The following is a 15,354-nucleotide window of genomic DNA, read 5'->3' as shown; positions in this document are numbered from 1 at the left end:
CCTTGCTCCCTGGTGCTTGGGAATCTGCATTTAAACACTACAAAATGTGTTTGCTGGTATTTGATTATTCCTCTTAAACACACCCAATTCACATAAAGAGTGCAGATACCCATAGGGGACAGAATAGATACAAACTAAAACCATATGTCATTGATTTCCAAACCTGGCAGGGCCTCAGAAGCACTCATACGTTGATTAAAACTGTACATTCTCGGACTTTCTCCCAGAGATTCTGATTCCATAGCTCTGGAATGAGGCCCAATACTCTGCGTAGGATGATTAGGATGATTCCGATGCACAGCCAAATGTGAGAGCTCCTGTTAACTTACAGCACACTGATCAAGTGCATGTTAAGGGCTGGAGTGGAGCACAAGGAGCACCGCCCTCCTAAATCCAGGCAGGCAGTGATGGAGAGACTCATTCATTCCTCCCACAATGATTAAGAAAGGGTTTGCTGAGATGGGTTCCCGAAACTGCTTTGGTAAGTTAGAAGGATGAATAGGTAGTACAGTTGGGAAACTCAAAGGCGGGAGTGAACCCCATGAATTTTGAGTAGGTATTCCCAAGAAGAGTGAAAACCAGAAAAGTGAGGTGGGGTTTCACTCATTTTGGTTTATCTAGATGGCAATGGAAACTGCATGAAGAGGTGGTTCTGAATTTTTATCAAAGCTTTCATATTTTGTGAAGTTACTCTAAAGGTATTGTTAAAAACAGAATGCCACTTTTGAAAAAAAAAAAAAAAAACATTGGAAAGGATCTGTCATTGAATGGCATTGACATAACAAAGTCTTAAGACCTGAACCTGAACCTCCTGGTATTTTTCTACCCACCTATCAGACATGCTACCGGTTTCCCCTTTTCTTCTGTGCATCTCCCTGTTACATGGAACTAGGAAGCAGGAAGCCCACAGATCACCTTGATTAATCTGGTATCAGGAGCTGTTTTCATCACCATGGAAACATGACACTCCTATGGAAAATGGAGAAACCTCTGATCTTTGTATTTTAAAAATTTTTTTAAAAAACACCCTAGAATAATGTTCTTTCTGAAAACAACAAGATACATGTACAAACACACGATTATATTACACATCTTGTATGTGGTTGAATTTTACTCATCATGCTTGTAAAAATATTAATTTATGCTCAAAGCAAAGGTTTCTAGACATAAGATTATACAATGAGAGGGCTTAAGTGCCACTGGAAGAAACTTCAGGGTAATAGACTTCTAAAATGCACAGATTGTTCTAAGAAGAACATGTATCCCAAGAAGTCTTTGCAAACGGATATTCCTTTATGCTTATTTCTTACCCAGGTAATATCAAGGGTATGTAAGGGTGTCGGGAGTGGCACATTTCATAAAACACTGAATTTTTCCTCCTTTCAATCTGCATCAAGCTATTTCTTTTTGTCCTTCAAAATAATAGCCAAACGTTTAAAAATTCTCTGCTTAGGACTTCTAAGACTCCATGCTGTTTTAAACCCTCAATAACAGATCTCAATATTGCAAGCATCCTGTAGATTATTTTCCACATAGTCCTGAAATAAGACTCAATTTTGAACTGGAAACTATTGAAAAGTAGAAAATCTTTCCTATAGCTATGTGTATATTAGCATAGGCACACAAAAACAAGAATAAACTCACTGATTTCTTTCCCTAGTGCTTTGGGCTAATACTGGTTCTCTCACGTTGTGGTATTCTAATGCTGCTGACTCTTGTTTATAGAACATTAAGGAAGGGGTGAAAAACCTACAGCACTCACATCCCTGGGGTAGTTACTTATTTCTTTAATATTTTTAGATTTTATTTACTGTAATCAAAAAGAAGGCCAATGGGGTTGGAACACTGATTTTTATAATTGAACAGAGAATTATAGTTGAACTATGTGAAATTTAACTGGTAAAATAAAGATGTTAAATATCTTTCTAAAGGAGACATTATAGGCTTTTTCTTTTCTTCAGTACAATAGGAAGTTCTAATTTTTTTTATAGGGTTAGAGAGTCAGGAGCTGGATGAAAATGCCCCTAAGCCTTTGATAGAGTTAAGAGAAAGGGAGAAAGACAAAATACCAATTGAGCTACTTTTTTTTTCCTTTAGAAGTAGAAAATAGTATTTGGAAAAATTTGAATATGAAAACATTGTCTTGGGTTCTTTATTTTAATCTTATGCAACTGAGAAACTAGTGCAGGATTTACTCTGAGCTCAAAGTAATACTCCCTTGCTTTCTTGAGTCATGTGAGAAGCATCGTATATGGGGAAGGGAATTCCTTTCTTGACCATCATTGCCCTCACCCTGCGATGCAAGAGCTATGAGTTTCAATATAAATATTATTGCTGGCCACAAGACTTCCCAGATCCTTTTCAAAAACCCTAGCCGCAGAATTTGACTGGCAGAGGATGTGTTTATACTTAGTCTCACTATCAATTCTCCCTAAAATGGAAAACCTGCAACAAAGGATGCACTAAAATGCTGCTCCCCAGGGCAGGCTTGTGTCAGCACAAGAGGCAGTTACAGGGAGATCATGTTAAGGGATTTGCACTTAATAACCTTGGCACCGGTCCAGCCAAGGCTGGGAAAAGTACTCCCAGTTCTCTACCCCAGCAGCAAATGATGTAATTCACGCTACAAGGAGGCACGTCCGCTGACCTGGCTTGGCAGAGGTGAGTGCAAAGGTGCTTGTATAACTGGTTTGCTTGTTGAGGTCCAAAATGGTTTATGAAAAGGAGGCGCTTAAGCAGCATTTTATCACAGGTTAACTGCATTAGAGAAATTGGGTTAAAACGTTAAATTTCAGCTGCTAGAACCAGCTTTGTGTCATTTGGGTATTTCCTTCAAATGCTAATGAAAGCTCAAGAATACTAATCAGATCCCATTGGCAAAGCCAAGCCAGTCATGGCAGGTTTCCAGCTGAAAATTATTTTTCACTGTCTACACTTGGATACTCTGCTCCCACTTGAACAAACGCACGGCAAAGTCATTGGTGATTGTGCTCCTATGCCCAGTCCAGGCCTCCCGCAGCATGTCCCTACAACTGCTCTTCACAATTATCAGGTCCTTGCCTCTGTAATGAATAGAGCTCTGCTTCTACACCCTCAGTGCCTGATGCTAGGCCAGACACTACTTGCTCACCGCTCAGGCCAGGGCACCGATTACCTCACCTAGAAGAGACAGCTGAGTGTCATGAAGAAAGCACGAGATTAGAAGTCAATGTTGTGAATAGAGCCTAGTTCACGACCCATTAGCTGCATATATTTGGGTAAATTATTTGCCTTTTTGCGCCTGTTTCCTCTTCTGTAAAATGGGAGTAATGAAATTTATTTACTTATTCAGGCTCTGAGGATTAAAGCTCATGTTTATAAAACTTCCTGGCATTTGGTAGCCCCTTGCCCAATGGTAGCTGCTCTTCTTATCTTGCCACCTTCCCTCTCTGCAGCCTACCTACTCCCCAATACACGATCTGCACAGAGGAAGAAAAATGGTTCTTAATGTCACTTCATACCACTCTTCCTGGCTCTGTAGCATCCTAAACAAGGAGGGGTTTTGGTTCCTAGGGGCTGCTGGGATTTTCTCCAGACAAATTTGACTGCCTGGCTGCTGCTGTTGTATAAGCAGAAATTTAACTGGGGTTTCACCAAGTGCGTCTGACAGAGAAGATAATGGCTAGGGAGTTGAATAAGTATGCAAGGGAGTCATGATCTGGAAGACCCGGGGGATCTTGGCTTTACAAGTGAGGAGGGTCATGGGCCCTGGAAAGTGGATCAGTGGATGCAGGGCTTCACCTGTGTGGTTAAAAAATTGTTGATCTCAAAGTAGATAGAGGGATGAGATGTAAGGGTAAGGTGGGGGTAAAAGTAGATGTAGCAGTTAGTGAGTGGCATACTTGGAATGGTGGGTATGGAGGGGGTGTGGCCGTGGGAGTATTCTTTCTCCTTTGTAGAAAAGAAAAATGTGATCATACAAGGCTACGGAGAGAACAGGTAAACTAGTAACTCCAGCAAGACCTCATCTGTCCAGCACTGTTAGCCGTTGAGAATCCCATTCATACAACCATTCCAGACAACAAATGAAGCACATACTTTGTTTTAACGACTTGGAGAGAATTCTTACTTCTGACCAGTTTGCTGAATACATCAATCATATACTAGGGGATATAGTACTTGCACAGAGAGAAAGGGTACGACACAGGGAGAGGATGTGTGAGCACTTTAAGGAAGAATATAACATGCGTCTGTACTGGCAAAGATAACCATTTCCAGGGAGTTACAAAGTCTTCATAAAGTGATAAATTTCTATTTTAATAACAGAAAGGGGACTGTAATTAATTATTTGCTGATCACTTGCCTATTTCCAGTCAATAGCACAGGTAGGACCTTAATGTAATTTTCTACAAAGAAATATATGAACAGATGTTTATAATAATGAAAAACCAATGGAGTCATTTCTCACCAACTAGATATAACAAAGATTATAAACTTTTATACACTGTTGGTGAGGGATTGAGGGAAAACTATCATATATGTGGGTAGGGATTAAATTTGCATCAATTATTTGGCAACATCCATCGCGATTGTAAATGTACATACCTTTTGTATTAAAATTCAGAGACAAAGAGACTTAGATGAATGTAGCCCCAGATGCAGAGTTCAGAACTATGAAGTAAGTGTGAAGTGCTCGATGTGCTGAGAAAGAAAAAGGAAAGGTCTTCAGACTGATGGAGTGTGACAGGATCCAGATGAGCCCTCTTCTTGAGTTGAATTGTAAGTACTTTTCAAACTGGGTAGGATAAAGTTAGCATTTCAAGAATGTTTGCGAAAAGCAGATTATTCCAGAAACAGAAATGGGGAAGCAACTTGAAATTGAAAAAAAAAAAAAAAAAAAAGGAAGTAAAGCTGCATTCCTACATCACACCCCCCCCCCCAAATACTGTAAAATCATTAAAGAAAATGTATATTTTTATAAAAGTGGCATGATGGCTTTTTCTAAAGAATGACAATGGGCCGGGCACAGTGGCTCATGCCTGTCATCCCAGCACTTTGTGAGGCTGAGGCGGGCAGATCACAAGGTCAGGAGATCGAGACCATCCTGGCTAACATGGTGAAACCCAGTCTCTACTTAAAAAATACAAAAAATTAGCCAGGTGTGGTAGTGGGTGCCTGGGGTCCCAGCTACTCGGGAGGCTGAGGCAGGAGAATGGCCTGAACCCAGGAGGCAGAGCTTGCAGTGAGCAGAAATCGTGCCACTGCACTCCAACCTGGGTGACAGAGCAAGACTCCATCTCAAAAAATAAATAAATAAATAAATAGAATGACAATGAAACCCAGACCCATATGATTAAACACTCCTCCCCCTATATTTTCCATTAATATGACTGGCAAATGGCTTGTTTCCCTAATATGCAAAGGGCTCTTCAAATGAATAAGGAACATACAAGCAACCAGGGAGAAAAACGGGCAAAGGCCATCAACAGCATTTCATGAAGAAGAAACACAAGGAAAATAAATAGGTGAAAAGATATTCACAATAGGAATTGATAAAGCAATGAGCTATTTTTCACAGACTAGATATGACAAAGATTATGAACTTTAACAGGGGTTGAGGGGAAACTCTTATGTGGACAGGAATTTAAATTTGCATCAATTATTTGGCAACATCAAGATTGTAAATGTACATACTCTCAATTCCACAATTTCTTATCTACCTGAATTCATTATGAATCTTCCTGAATTCATTATGAGTTCAGGACCTCCTCCTTCTCTAGAGGTGACCTGAGGGCCACAAGGAGAGCCATTGATTTTTCTTCCCCCATCACGACATGACCTGCCCCATCATTATAAGCCAAATCCAGTACCTGAAGAGGCTATAATTAGAAATGACTGCACACCTTCCAAAAGGCCATGGGAACTAGCCTCATCACTCTTTCCATGCCTAGGTCGCTCGTCATCAGAAGTCAAAGCTTCTCATGTCTCTCCCACCACCCTATTGTTGGACAGCTCCTGTTGGAACCCAATTTCCCAGCCACCCTGAACACATACTCACCTCTGGAATTCAATCATCATCAAAATCATTTGTACCCTTCTCCTTGCTAGGCCAGCCTCTCCACTTCCAGCTTGGGTCTCAGCCACTCTTAACTACTCACAGACATTCCTTGAGCAATTGTCCCTTGTCTCTCTTGAACACTGGATCGTCATTTTATCCAAGGTCAATTCCATCACACAATAAACATGATTTAATATCTCCCACCTAAACAAACAAAACCAAAAAATCCCTTTCGACTCCACCTCACTTCCCTCCAGTTACTGCTTGATTTCTCTGTTCTCCTTTGGAGCAAAACTTTTTGAAAGGATAGTGTTGTGCCTACTTTCTTCACTTCCTCACCTCCCATTCTCTCTCATGAGAGTTTTCACTTAACTGCGATTAGCCTACTGGAAGGTGCACAAATCGCAGGTATGCAGCTCAATGGATTATCACAAAGTGAACACACCCTGTGCCAATACCCAGGTCAAGAGATGGAACACTGTCCACACCCCAGAAACCTAGTTCTTTCTTCCGACTACCACTGCTCCCTCTTTCCCAAAGACCATTACTATTATTCCTTTTAAAACAACACATTATTTTACCTATTTTGAAAAATTGCTTTGGAATCTTTCTTGCTTTTCTTTCTTTCTTTCTTTTTCTTTCTTTCTTTCTTCCTTCCTTCCTTTTTTCTTTCTTTCTTTCTCTCTCTTTCTTTCTTTTCTTTCTTTCTTTCTTTTTTTTTTTTTTGATGGAGTTTTGCTGTTGTTACCCAGCCTGGAGTGCGGTGGTGCGATCTCAGCTCACTGCAACCTCTGCCTCCCAGGTTTAAGTGATTCTCCTGCCTCAGCCTCCCGAGTAGCTGGAATTACTGTATGTATTTCTCTGTGCATATTTTCTTTTGCCCAGTGTGATGTTTGTGAGGTTTGTTCAAGTTATTACACATAGCAGGGACCAGATCGCACAACATAAGGACTTTTTCATTTTTGTGGAGTGAAGCCCTTGGGAGGTTTTTAACAGAGGAATGACATGGTATGATCTTTGCACTGAAAGTTCACTTAGCTGCTACCTTGAGAACAGAATGTGGGTTGGGAGGTGAGGTTGAAGAAGAAAGCAGGGAGACTGGTTAGGAAGCCATTACAACAATCCAATCACAGTATTAAATTCTCTGGCTTTAGAAAGAAAAGACATTTTAGGTCAGTCCCTCAGTGGAGCTAAATCAAAGCAATAATAAACCGAGTTCACTGTTGGACCTGCAATAACTAGGCCAGCTATCACAATTTAGGCCCAGAAAATAATTAACACCTCCTCAACAAAAATAGCCTTTGCAAACAACTGTAATTTTCAAAATTAAAATAGAATAATATATGGCTGAGAATAAACAGAAGCTTCAATATTTGGAAACCTTGGGTCTTCAAAGTAATACTTCATCAAACACAGAAAGCATTTTCAAGGCCAGAAAACCGAAATAATTTCAGGCCTTGGGGGAATGACAGGGTGGTAACGACTCATCAAAAGCAGACTGGTAGGCAGGGCGAAAAGTATGGGTTGCCTGGATATAAATAATTGGAAATACAGGGATGCCCTACCCTGCTGCAAGATTTTCCTTTACTATTTACATTCTTTCTTGTTATTCTTAACACTTGCATCATCACAAAGGTGTGTTTTCTTCGTGACAAGTATTTTTACATGACTCAGTTGAAAGCTGAGATTATGTGTGGTTGATTTTTCATCCATGACTGCACATTTGTCTTGATCTTAAGAATTCCCAGCTTTTTGAAACGAAAGTTTTAACATTTTTGCTCAGATCCACATATTTGATTCCTTGTTGGTTTTCACAGCACTCTGGGCAAAAAATGGGACTGAAAGTTGGTGTATGTTAAATCTAAGAGCATGGCAAATAATGCTGGACCACGGCTCTATTCAATTCTATAATTTATCTAGGGGAGTGGCCCCATCCCACGTGCCCTTACCCCAGTGGAAAAGTCTGGCTGCCTCATACGATATCAACATCAAAAGATTAGCGTTGTATTGAATATAGTCTCATTTATTTACCAGTTAAGATCTATTGCCAATGCATTTATCTGGGAATCTTGTTTTAGCTTACTTTATTTTTCGCTTCTATCACCTTTGAAAGAATGTTCCCCTTTGGAGCAAAAGTTTTCAAAATAGTTCATACTGGTCTCCAACTCCTCTCTCAAATTCTTTGTTAAACCCACTCCAACAGCCTTTTGTCTTTAATATAGCCTTGTCAAGGCAACCAAAAACCTGCATATTGCTGTGCCTACACCAGCCGTGCAGAGTGTTTATTTTTCCTACCAACCTTCTGAAGATAATTTCTTTGCCTGTATGTTCTGACCAAAAAAAAAAAAAGTGATTCAAAAGAGAGTTTGAAGCCAGGCTGGGTGTGAAGCCAGTAGTGCAAGAGCTTTAGAGTCAGACAAACCTCCGTTGAAGTGCGAGCTGCATCACCTACTAGTAGGTGACCATGAGCAGTCTCCCTGACCCCTCTTGCCTCAGTTTCCTAATCTGTGAAAATGAGGAGTTAACAGAAGCTGCCTAGCAAGGCTGTGGGAAAATGAAATGAGAGAATGGGCCTGGCACATGGTAACCATTTATTATGCATTAGCTGCTATTATTATTGTCGTTGATACTGTTCTCATCTGAGGCCAGTGGGAGCAAATAAGTTTTATGCCAGGAGATTCCTCCCCACAAATCCTCTTGGGTAAGCAGCTGCCTCTGCTGCTTTCTCAGGCTGCTTTGTTTGACTTCCTGCCTGCTTGAGGCATAAATCAATAACTTTGATGATAGCCACTGCTCTTGTGTGTGAGATGAGGCAGGAGGAAGGAAGGTTACAAGAGGGGGTGATCACTGGAAAAGACTAATGTAAGTCTATAAACTCAGCACCCCACAGATAGAGGAAATGCTCCCAATAAATTGGCCTCTGTCTATACATCTGGATAAAATTAAAACAATAAGCTTTATTTTAATAAGATCATAAAATTGCAAGCTTTGCAAAAGCAGGAGCAACGTCCTCCATTTCCTCTGAGTCCTTCCACACTGCTGTCCTTAGGTAGCTAAGCCAGCAGCCTTCAATCTTTTTCTTTTTCTTTTTTCTTTTTTTTTTTTTTTTTTGCTGATTCACAAAAGTGGATGCCACTTACATGAACGATCACTCTTGTGGGGATGCCCAAGATTCTGTGAAATTCCCAACACACAAGCAGCAATTCCTCCCTGTTCTCTCTCTTGAACACAAGGGAGAATGACAAAAATAGAGGGGTACATTTTAGCTAGCTCCAATTCACTTGGGAAAAAAATACATAATTTGTGAGCTTATCTTTATTGTTAGTCATATGTTTCTTTTGACATCTCACACTGTTCACCTTCACCATTTCAACAGGCATCCATTTCAACAAGCTGTCATCAAACAGTGGTGCCAGGGAGCTACTAGGAAATGGGATGAGGAGAGTCTGGGATGTCTGTTGGTGCTTCCCAACGAGTGTTATGGGCCCTCTGTTTTCAGGTGGACCTTCCTGCAGGAGCAGAAGATTTCTTGCTAAAGGGAGTGTAAAGGTCTTTTCCTTTCTATTTAGTGGATCAGAACCTGCATAGAAACAGAAATGAAATGCTCAGGTGGGAGCAGTGATTCTCAATGGCTGATGTCCAAGACACAAAAGGATAATCACAATGTTTTTATGATATCAACTTCTGAAAATCATGTTTGGCAATTTTTTCCTGAATAACAGACAATATGAAGAAGACCCAAAATGTTTATAAAGGGGAGATTTCGGAGTGGGATCTGTTTCAAGTCAAAGGAGAAAGCAGTCAGGCAGCTTGGGGGCCAATTACAATATTGGGTGAAAGCCACTGGGTTAAAGAGAAGGCTATGGGGTCACCACACAAGACAAAAACTGAACTGTTGATTCCCTTTCCCACCATTCCTCTCCCTTTCTTTTAGCAAATGGCAAACCCATTCGTCACCAAGCCAGAAATCTTTGAGTCATTGTCTCCTCTCTCTCTCTCTCATACTCTCCATTTGATTGATCAGCAAATCTTGACTTTCTGAGTTTCAAAACGTCATCAGTACCTGACCACTTCACTCCAGTGAAGGACAGTACTCATCCTGGTCCAGGCCACCAATATCTCTCACCCAGGTAATGGCCTCCTAACTAGTCTTACTGCTTTCACCTTCCCTTGCTCAATCTGTTTCACGTAGTAGACAGAACGGTCTTTTTAATGTTTAAATCAGATTATGCCATTTCTTTGCAAACCTCCAATGACCTCTCATCTCATTCACAGAAAAGCAGTCTTTACTATGAGTCTATGAGACCTTTTAGGACCTCAGTCCTTGCAACCTGTCCAACAACATCATCTCCAACAGCTCTTCCCCTCTGTCACTCAGCTCATTGACAATGGTCACCTGGGTTTTACTTGAACAACCCTACCTCAGGGCTTTGCACTCGCAATTCTCTCTGCATGAAGTATTTTCTTCCAGGAATTTGCTTGGCTAACTTATTTAATCAGTTCATCATAGGCCTCATTATGAAAGAAGCTTTATTCTTTTTTATGGGCAACTTGATCATTGGCATCTGTTTCAGCAGTCAATGACTGTGAGCAAATTGGCAATGTCAAACTCTGCAAAATTTCGAGATTTTTTTTAATGACCTAAAATAGAGAGTTTATTATCTCAGAAATTTGTTAAGGTCAAATTTTTTGTGTATTATCCTCAGCGCATGGTTGATTTTCTCTTACAAACTCTTTCACTTGTTTTAAAGAATGAATAATTTGGGGACTTTGAGTATTTAAATCTATTTTTAAACATGGTATATGTTCTTGTAACTATTGTTTCTCACATCGGCACTGATTGTACTTTATTAGTTAGTTCCAGAGACCCTTAATTACAGAAAGTTGCCTGGGGAAGTCCAAGACCAAGTCAATTGTATTGACGAGAAAAGAAAAAAGCAAACTAATAGACCTAATGACTTGGAGTCTAAGACAGTCATGAAAGACTCCCCTCCACTTCCTCAAAACATAGGTAGGTGCAATGTTAAGTAGAGTCAGGGAAGTCAGTAACTCATTTTGCCAATTTAAAGCCCCAGCGCAATTTATTTATGAGGCTCGGGGTATTTTAAATTCACCTAAGTCAATCACGCGGTGAAAATCATGCTCGGGTGTGAATTCTGGCCTGAAAATATGCATCCCCTTATTGTATTCACACAGACCTTTTGCATCTCAAGCGTGGTGAGCAGCTGTTGCGGAGTCGGTAGAGCCTGGTCTGAGTAAGGAGGAGCCCGGCAGCGGCCCTGGTGGGGTCGGAGAGAGGGCACTAGTGCTGTTTCTATTTGGGGACGCCGGGGGAAGGCGCCGCCGCAGGGTCATTGCAGCGCCTCCCCAGCGCGCAGGGCTGTGGATCCCACAGCAGCCTCCGGGCCAGGTTCCGGGATGCTTGGGGATGGCGCGGCTGCACCTGTCACTCGCCGCTCACTCCTGCTCCGGGGAGACCCCGCGCTGACCTCTGCCCTTGCGCCTGACAGCTGGGCCCCGAGCCTCCCCTGCCTCTGCTGTCACTCGGAGGTGGCTGGTGATTAGTAATCGTCTCCATCCTCCACGCGGGAGGCGTGACCGGGCGTTTACACGCAGCCTGTGAGCCAGCGCCTGGAAATTCCTTTCAGGGACTGCTTTTGCATCTAGAAACCAGAAGTGATTCAAGTGATATGTTCAACTCCTGCCCCTGGGCTGGGGAGAGCGTTGCAGCTCAGTAAAGCACTGCTCCCAGGGAAGAGCTGTCTCTGCTCCCATGGCATAGTTCTTTTCCCTTTCCTGATCAAGGAGACAATGACATAAATATGACTGTCATGGGTGATGATAGCCAGACTGGAGAGACATTCTCACTAGGGTTTTGTTTTGTTTGCTTTTGTAGACAGTGTCACTCTGTCACCCAGGCTGGAGTGCAGTGGCACAATCACGGCTCACTGCAGCCTCAATCTCTCCAGCTCAAGTGATTCTCCCACTTCAACCTCCCAAGTAGCTGGGACTACAGGCGCATGCCACCATGCCTGGCCAATTTTTTTTTTTTTTTTTTTTTTTAAGTAGAGAGGACAGTCTCACTATACTGTCCAGGCTAGTCTCAAACTCCTGACTTCAAGTGATCCTCCCACCTCAGCCTCCCAAGTGTGTTACCACTAACACACTTCCTCAATTGTAAAATAAGGCATTGAACAAGTTGTTTACATTTAAATCACTTTCTGAGTGTCCATCAGCCTCCAAAAATTGAGGCAGTTTCTCAGACTAATATCAGTAGCAATTCTATCACTATTTCTTCTTTAATGTAAGGGAAAATTAATTTTGATCAATTTGCCAGGTATCAATTTGGGTAACATTTCTACCATCTTGATTTGACATATGGCATTGCAGTTCCCCCTAAGTCACTCCAGCTGGGGCACAAGAGGCAGCTTACAGTCACTGTGGGCAGGCTTTTTATTTTGTTACCTCATGTGCTTAGTCCTTCTTGTCACTGGCTCTGCCCCTGCCCTTGGTACTTGCCCAGGCCAGGCCCCAGGGGAAGAATGCTTATAGACTGGGTCAGATATTTTACCTTCCCCATTGGTCTTGGGAGTGGTCTCCATCTTCTTCCCTTGTTTGTTCATTTTGCTAATTTCAGGAACCCCAGATCCTGGTCCTGGTCCTCCTCCACCAGACGGAAGGAAGTCAGAGCTTGCTCCAAAGAGATTCTTGCAAAGTGGCCCCACAACTGCTTGTCTGAGTCAAGCCTCAGCAGAAAAAATCCCTGTATCCATCATCTATTTCTCTATTCCTCTAGGAATAATTTATCTTATAGTTCATCATATTCCATAATATCTGCTTATGATAACTAAAGCATCTAGCAGCTTGACCTGCTGGAAAGGATATGGATTTGGGACATTTTGTCTCAGATCTACTACATACAAACTTTGTGACTTTGGAAATAGACACTTCCTTGGTATGAGTCTTAGTAAGCTCACCTGTAAGATGGGAGTTGTAAGAATTTTATAGTGCCAGGCACAGTGATTCACACCTGTAATCCTAACACTTTGGGAGGCAGAGGCAGGAGAACCACTTAAGCCTATGAGTTTCAGACCAGCCCTGTCAACACAGAGAGACCCTGTTTTTCCAAAAAACTTAAAAAAATGTAGCCAGGCATGGTGGTATGCTCCTGTCAGCTCTTCAGGAGGCTGAGATGTGAGGATCCCTTGAGCCCAGGAGGTCGAGGCTGCAGTGAGCCATGATGGTGCCACTGCAATCCAGCCTGGGCCACAAAGCCAGATCTTGTCTCAAAAATAAATAAATAAATAAGAGTTTTGTAGGAATCAAGTCAAATAATGTATGACAAAAGATTCTGTGAACCTCACAGCATTATGTAATGGTGTGTGTGTGTGTGTGTGTGTGTGTGTGTGTGTGTGTTTTACTGCAGCAGATTTTGGTGGTTAGAAGAATGAGTTTTTGGAGTCAGACTTCTGTTTAAAGCAAGGCTTCACTAATTACTGGCTCTGTGACCACAGACAAGTGACTTTAATTTCTTTTATATCCCGGCATCATCATCTGTAAATTGGAAATAATAGCTATATTTTAGGGTTGTTGAAACGTTAAGTGAGATAATGTATGCTAAGCATTTAATATAATTCTTAATATGTCATAATAGTAGTTGCTGCTTTCAGGCCCTAAGGATGCTGTTGGCTTGAAAAAAAAATGTACCCTTGAGACTTTTAATCTACCTCCTTTTGTTAACCACATCTGAATTTTTATCTCTAGAAATAAATGTATATAAAATTGCCTTACTTAATTCCAGTTTTTAGAAAATATTCCTTTTTCCACAGTTCGAAAATGCATAAAAATCTAGTGCACCAGCTTCTTATCTCAGCAGTTGAAATTATTTGACTATTGATTCTTGAATTCAACCAAGATTTTTCCAGAAACATCATGAAAGAATCAATCTTCAGAGACTAATGTTCCAAGGGAAGGCCTGTCTTCTGGGAATAACAGACCTGATGTGTGTATTCTGCCAAAACAGTTGAGTAAATGAAACAAACTTAACAGCTTTTTGCCTAATTTGCTAATATACCAACAGGCCTCACAATTAGGTATGCATGTCAGGTGTATTAGTCCATTTTCACACTGCCGATAAAGACATATCCAAGACTGGGTAAATTATAAAGAAAAAGAAGTTTAATGGACTCATAGTTCCAAGTGACTGGGGAGGCCTCATAATCATGGCAGAAGGTGAAAAGCAAATCTTACATGGCAGCAGGCAAGAGAGAGAACTTGTGCAGGGAAACTCCCCTTTATAAAACCATCAGATCTCATGAGGCTTATTCACTGTCATGAGAATAGCACGGGAAAGACCGCCTCCATGATTCGATTATCTCCCACTGGATACCTCTCACAACACATGGGAATTATGGGAGCTACAATTCAAGATGAGATTTGGGTGGGGACACAGCCAGACCATATCATCAGGGTTGTTCAGGAGACTCCTTGGGGAGTTGTAAGTTGTAGCCCTGTATTAGGATGGGGTTCCAGGAGATGCTGCCATGGAGCATCCCTTTTACGTCCACATATGGTCCTTCTGAGGAACATGAGATTCCTGAACATGAAACATTTGTTCTGGGGCAGATAATTTATGGTTACTTTTGCTCATGCACCTGTGATCAGCTGCTAGACTGGCTGGCTGGTCTAGCATTGCCTTAACAGGGACAGCTTATCTCTGCTCCATGTGGTTTCTCTTTCTTCAGCAGGCTTGTTCTCATGGCAGTTGCTGGAAGCAAGAGAGCCAGTGAAAGAGTGAAAGTGCTCTTGAGACATAATGACTCTTCTGCTGCAATCTATTGGTAAAAGCAATAGAATAAAAGGTCAGCATAGATAGAAGAGGAGAAGAAATGGACTCCACCTCTTGATAAAAGGATGTGCAAAATCACATTACAAAGAGTATGGAAATGGGAGAAGTGAAGGATCATGGCCATTTTTGCAACCCTCCACATATGGTAAAATTGCCAAGTTTCTGTCTAAGTAAAGCTGTAGGGCATTTATGCTCCCACTTTCAGTGTGTGAGTTTCTATTTCTCTGCATTCTTGCCAACATTTGGCAGAATACACTCATTTTTTAAATTAATCTGATAATATAAGGTAAGTGGTGTCAATGGTTTTTGTTTTTATTTCATTTTCAGTTTCTTATACCTACTGAGGTTAAATATATTTTTATATATTTATTAGCTATTTGTATTTCTTCTGAGAATTGCCAATTTCTATCTTGCTAATTTTTCTATTGGGAAGTTTTCTGTTGGAATGTTCTCTATTGGAACTGTTATG

At 41.3% G+C, this 15,354-nt stretch overlaps 1 long non-coding RNA gene across 1 annotated transcript, besides 1 other annotated feature; it reads left to right on the top strand.

Moving 5' to 3' along the window:
• On the top strand, positions 2,607-9,580 carry LOC107984604 (uncharacterized). Its single transcript, XR_001749822.1, has 3 exons — positions 2,607-2,661; positions 4,604-4,758; positions 9,414-9,580. It is a non-coding gene; the product is annotated as an uncharacterized LOC107984604 (long non-coding RNA).
• Positions 11,461-12,025: an enhancer, noted in NCBI's record as "H3K27ac-H3K4me1 hESC enhancer chr13:36728605-36729169 (GRCh37/hg19 assembly coordinates)". NCBI's record gives its function as "activates a minimal SCP1, AML or CMV promoter by ChIP-STARR-seq in primed H9 embryonic stem cells {active_cell/tissue: H9 hESC(primed)}" and the evidence as "EXISTENCE:reporter gene assay evidence [ECO:0000049][PMID:30033119]".

Source organism: Homo sapiens, chromosome 13, assembly GCF_000001405.40.
Source record: "Homo sapiens chromosome 13, GRCh38.p14 Primary Assembly".
In the NCBI taxonomy this organism is placed as follows: Eukaryota; Metazoa; Chordata; class Mammalia; order Primates; family Hominidae; genus Homo; species Homo sapiens.
The sequence above is the reverse complement of the archived record's forward strand: the minus strand, read 5'-3'. Positions and strand labels throughout refer to the sequence as shown.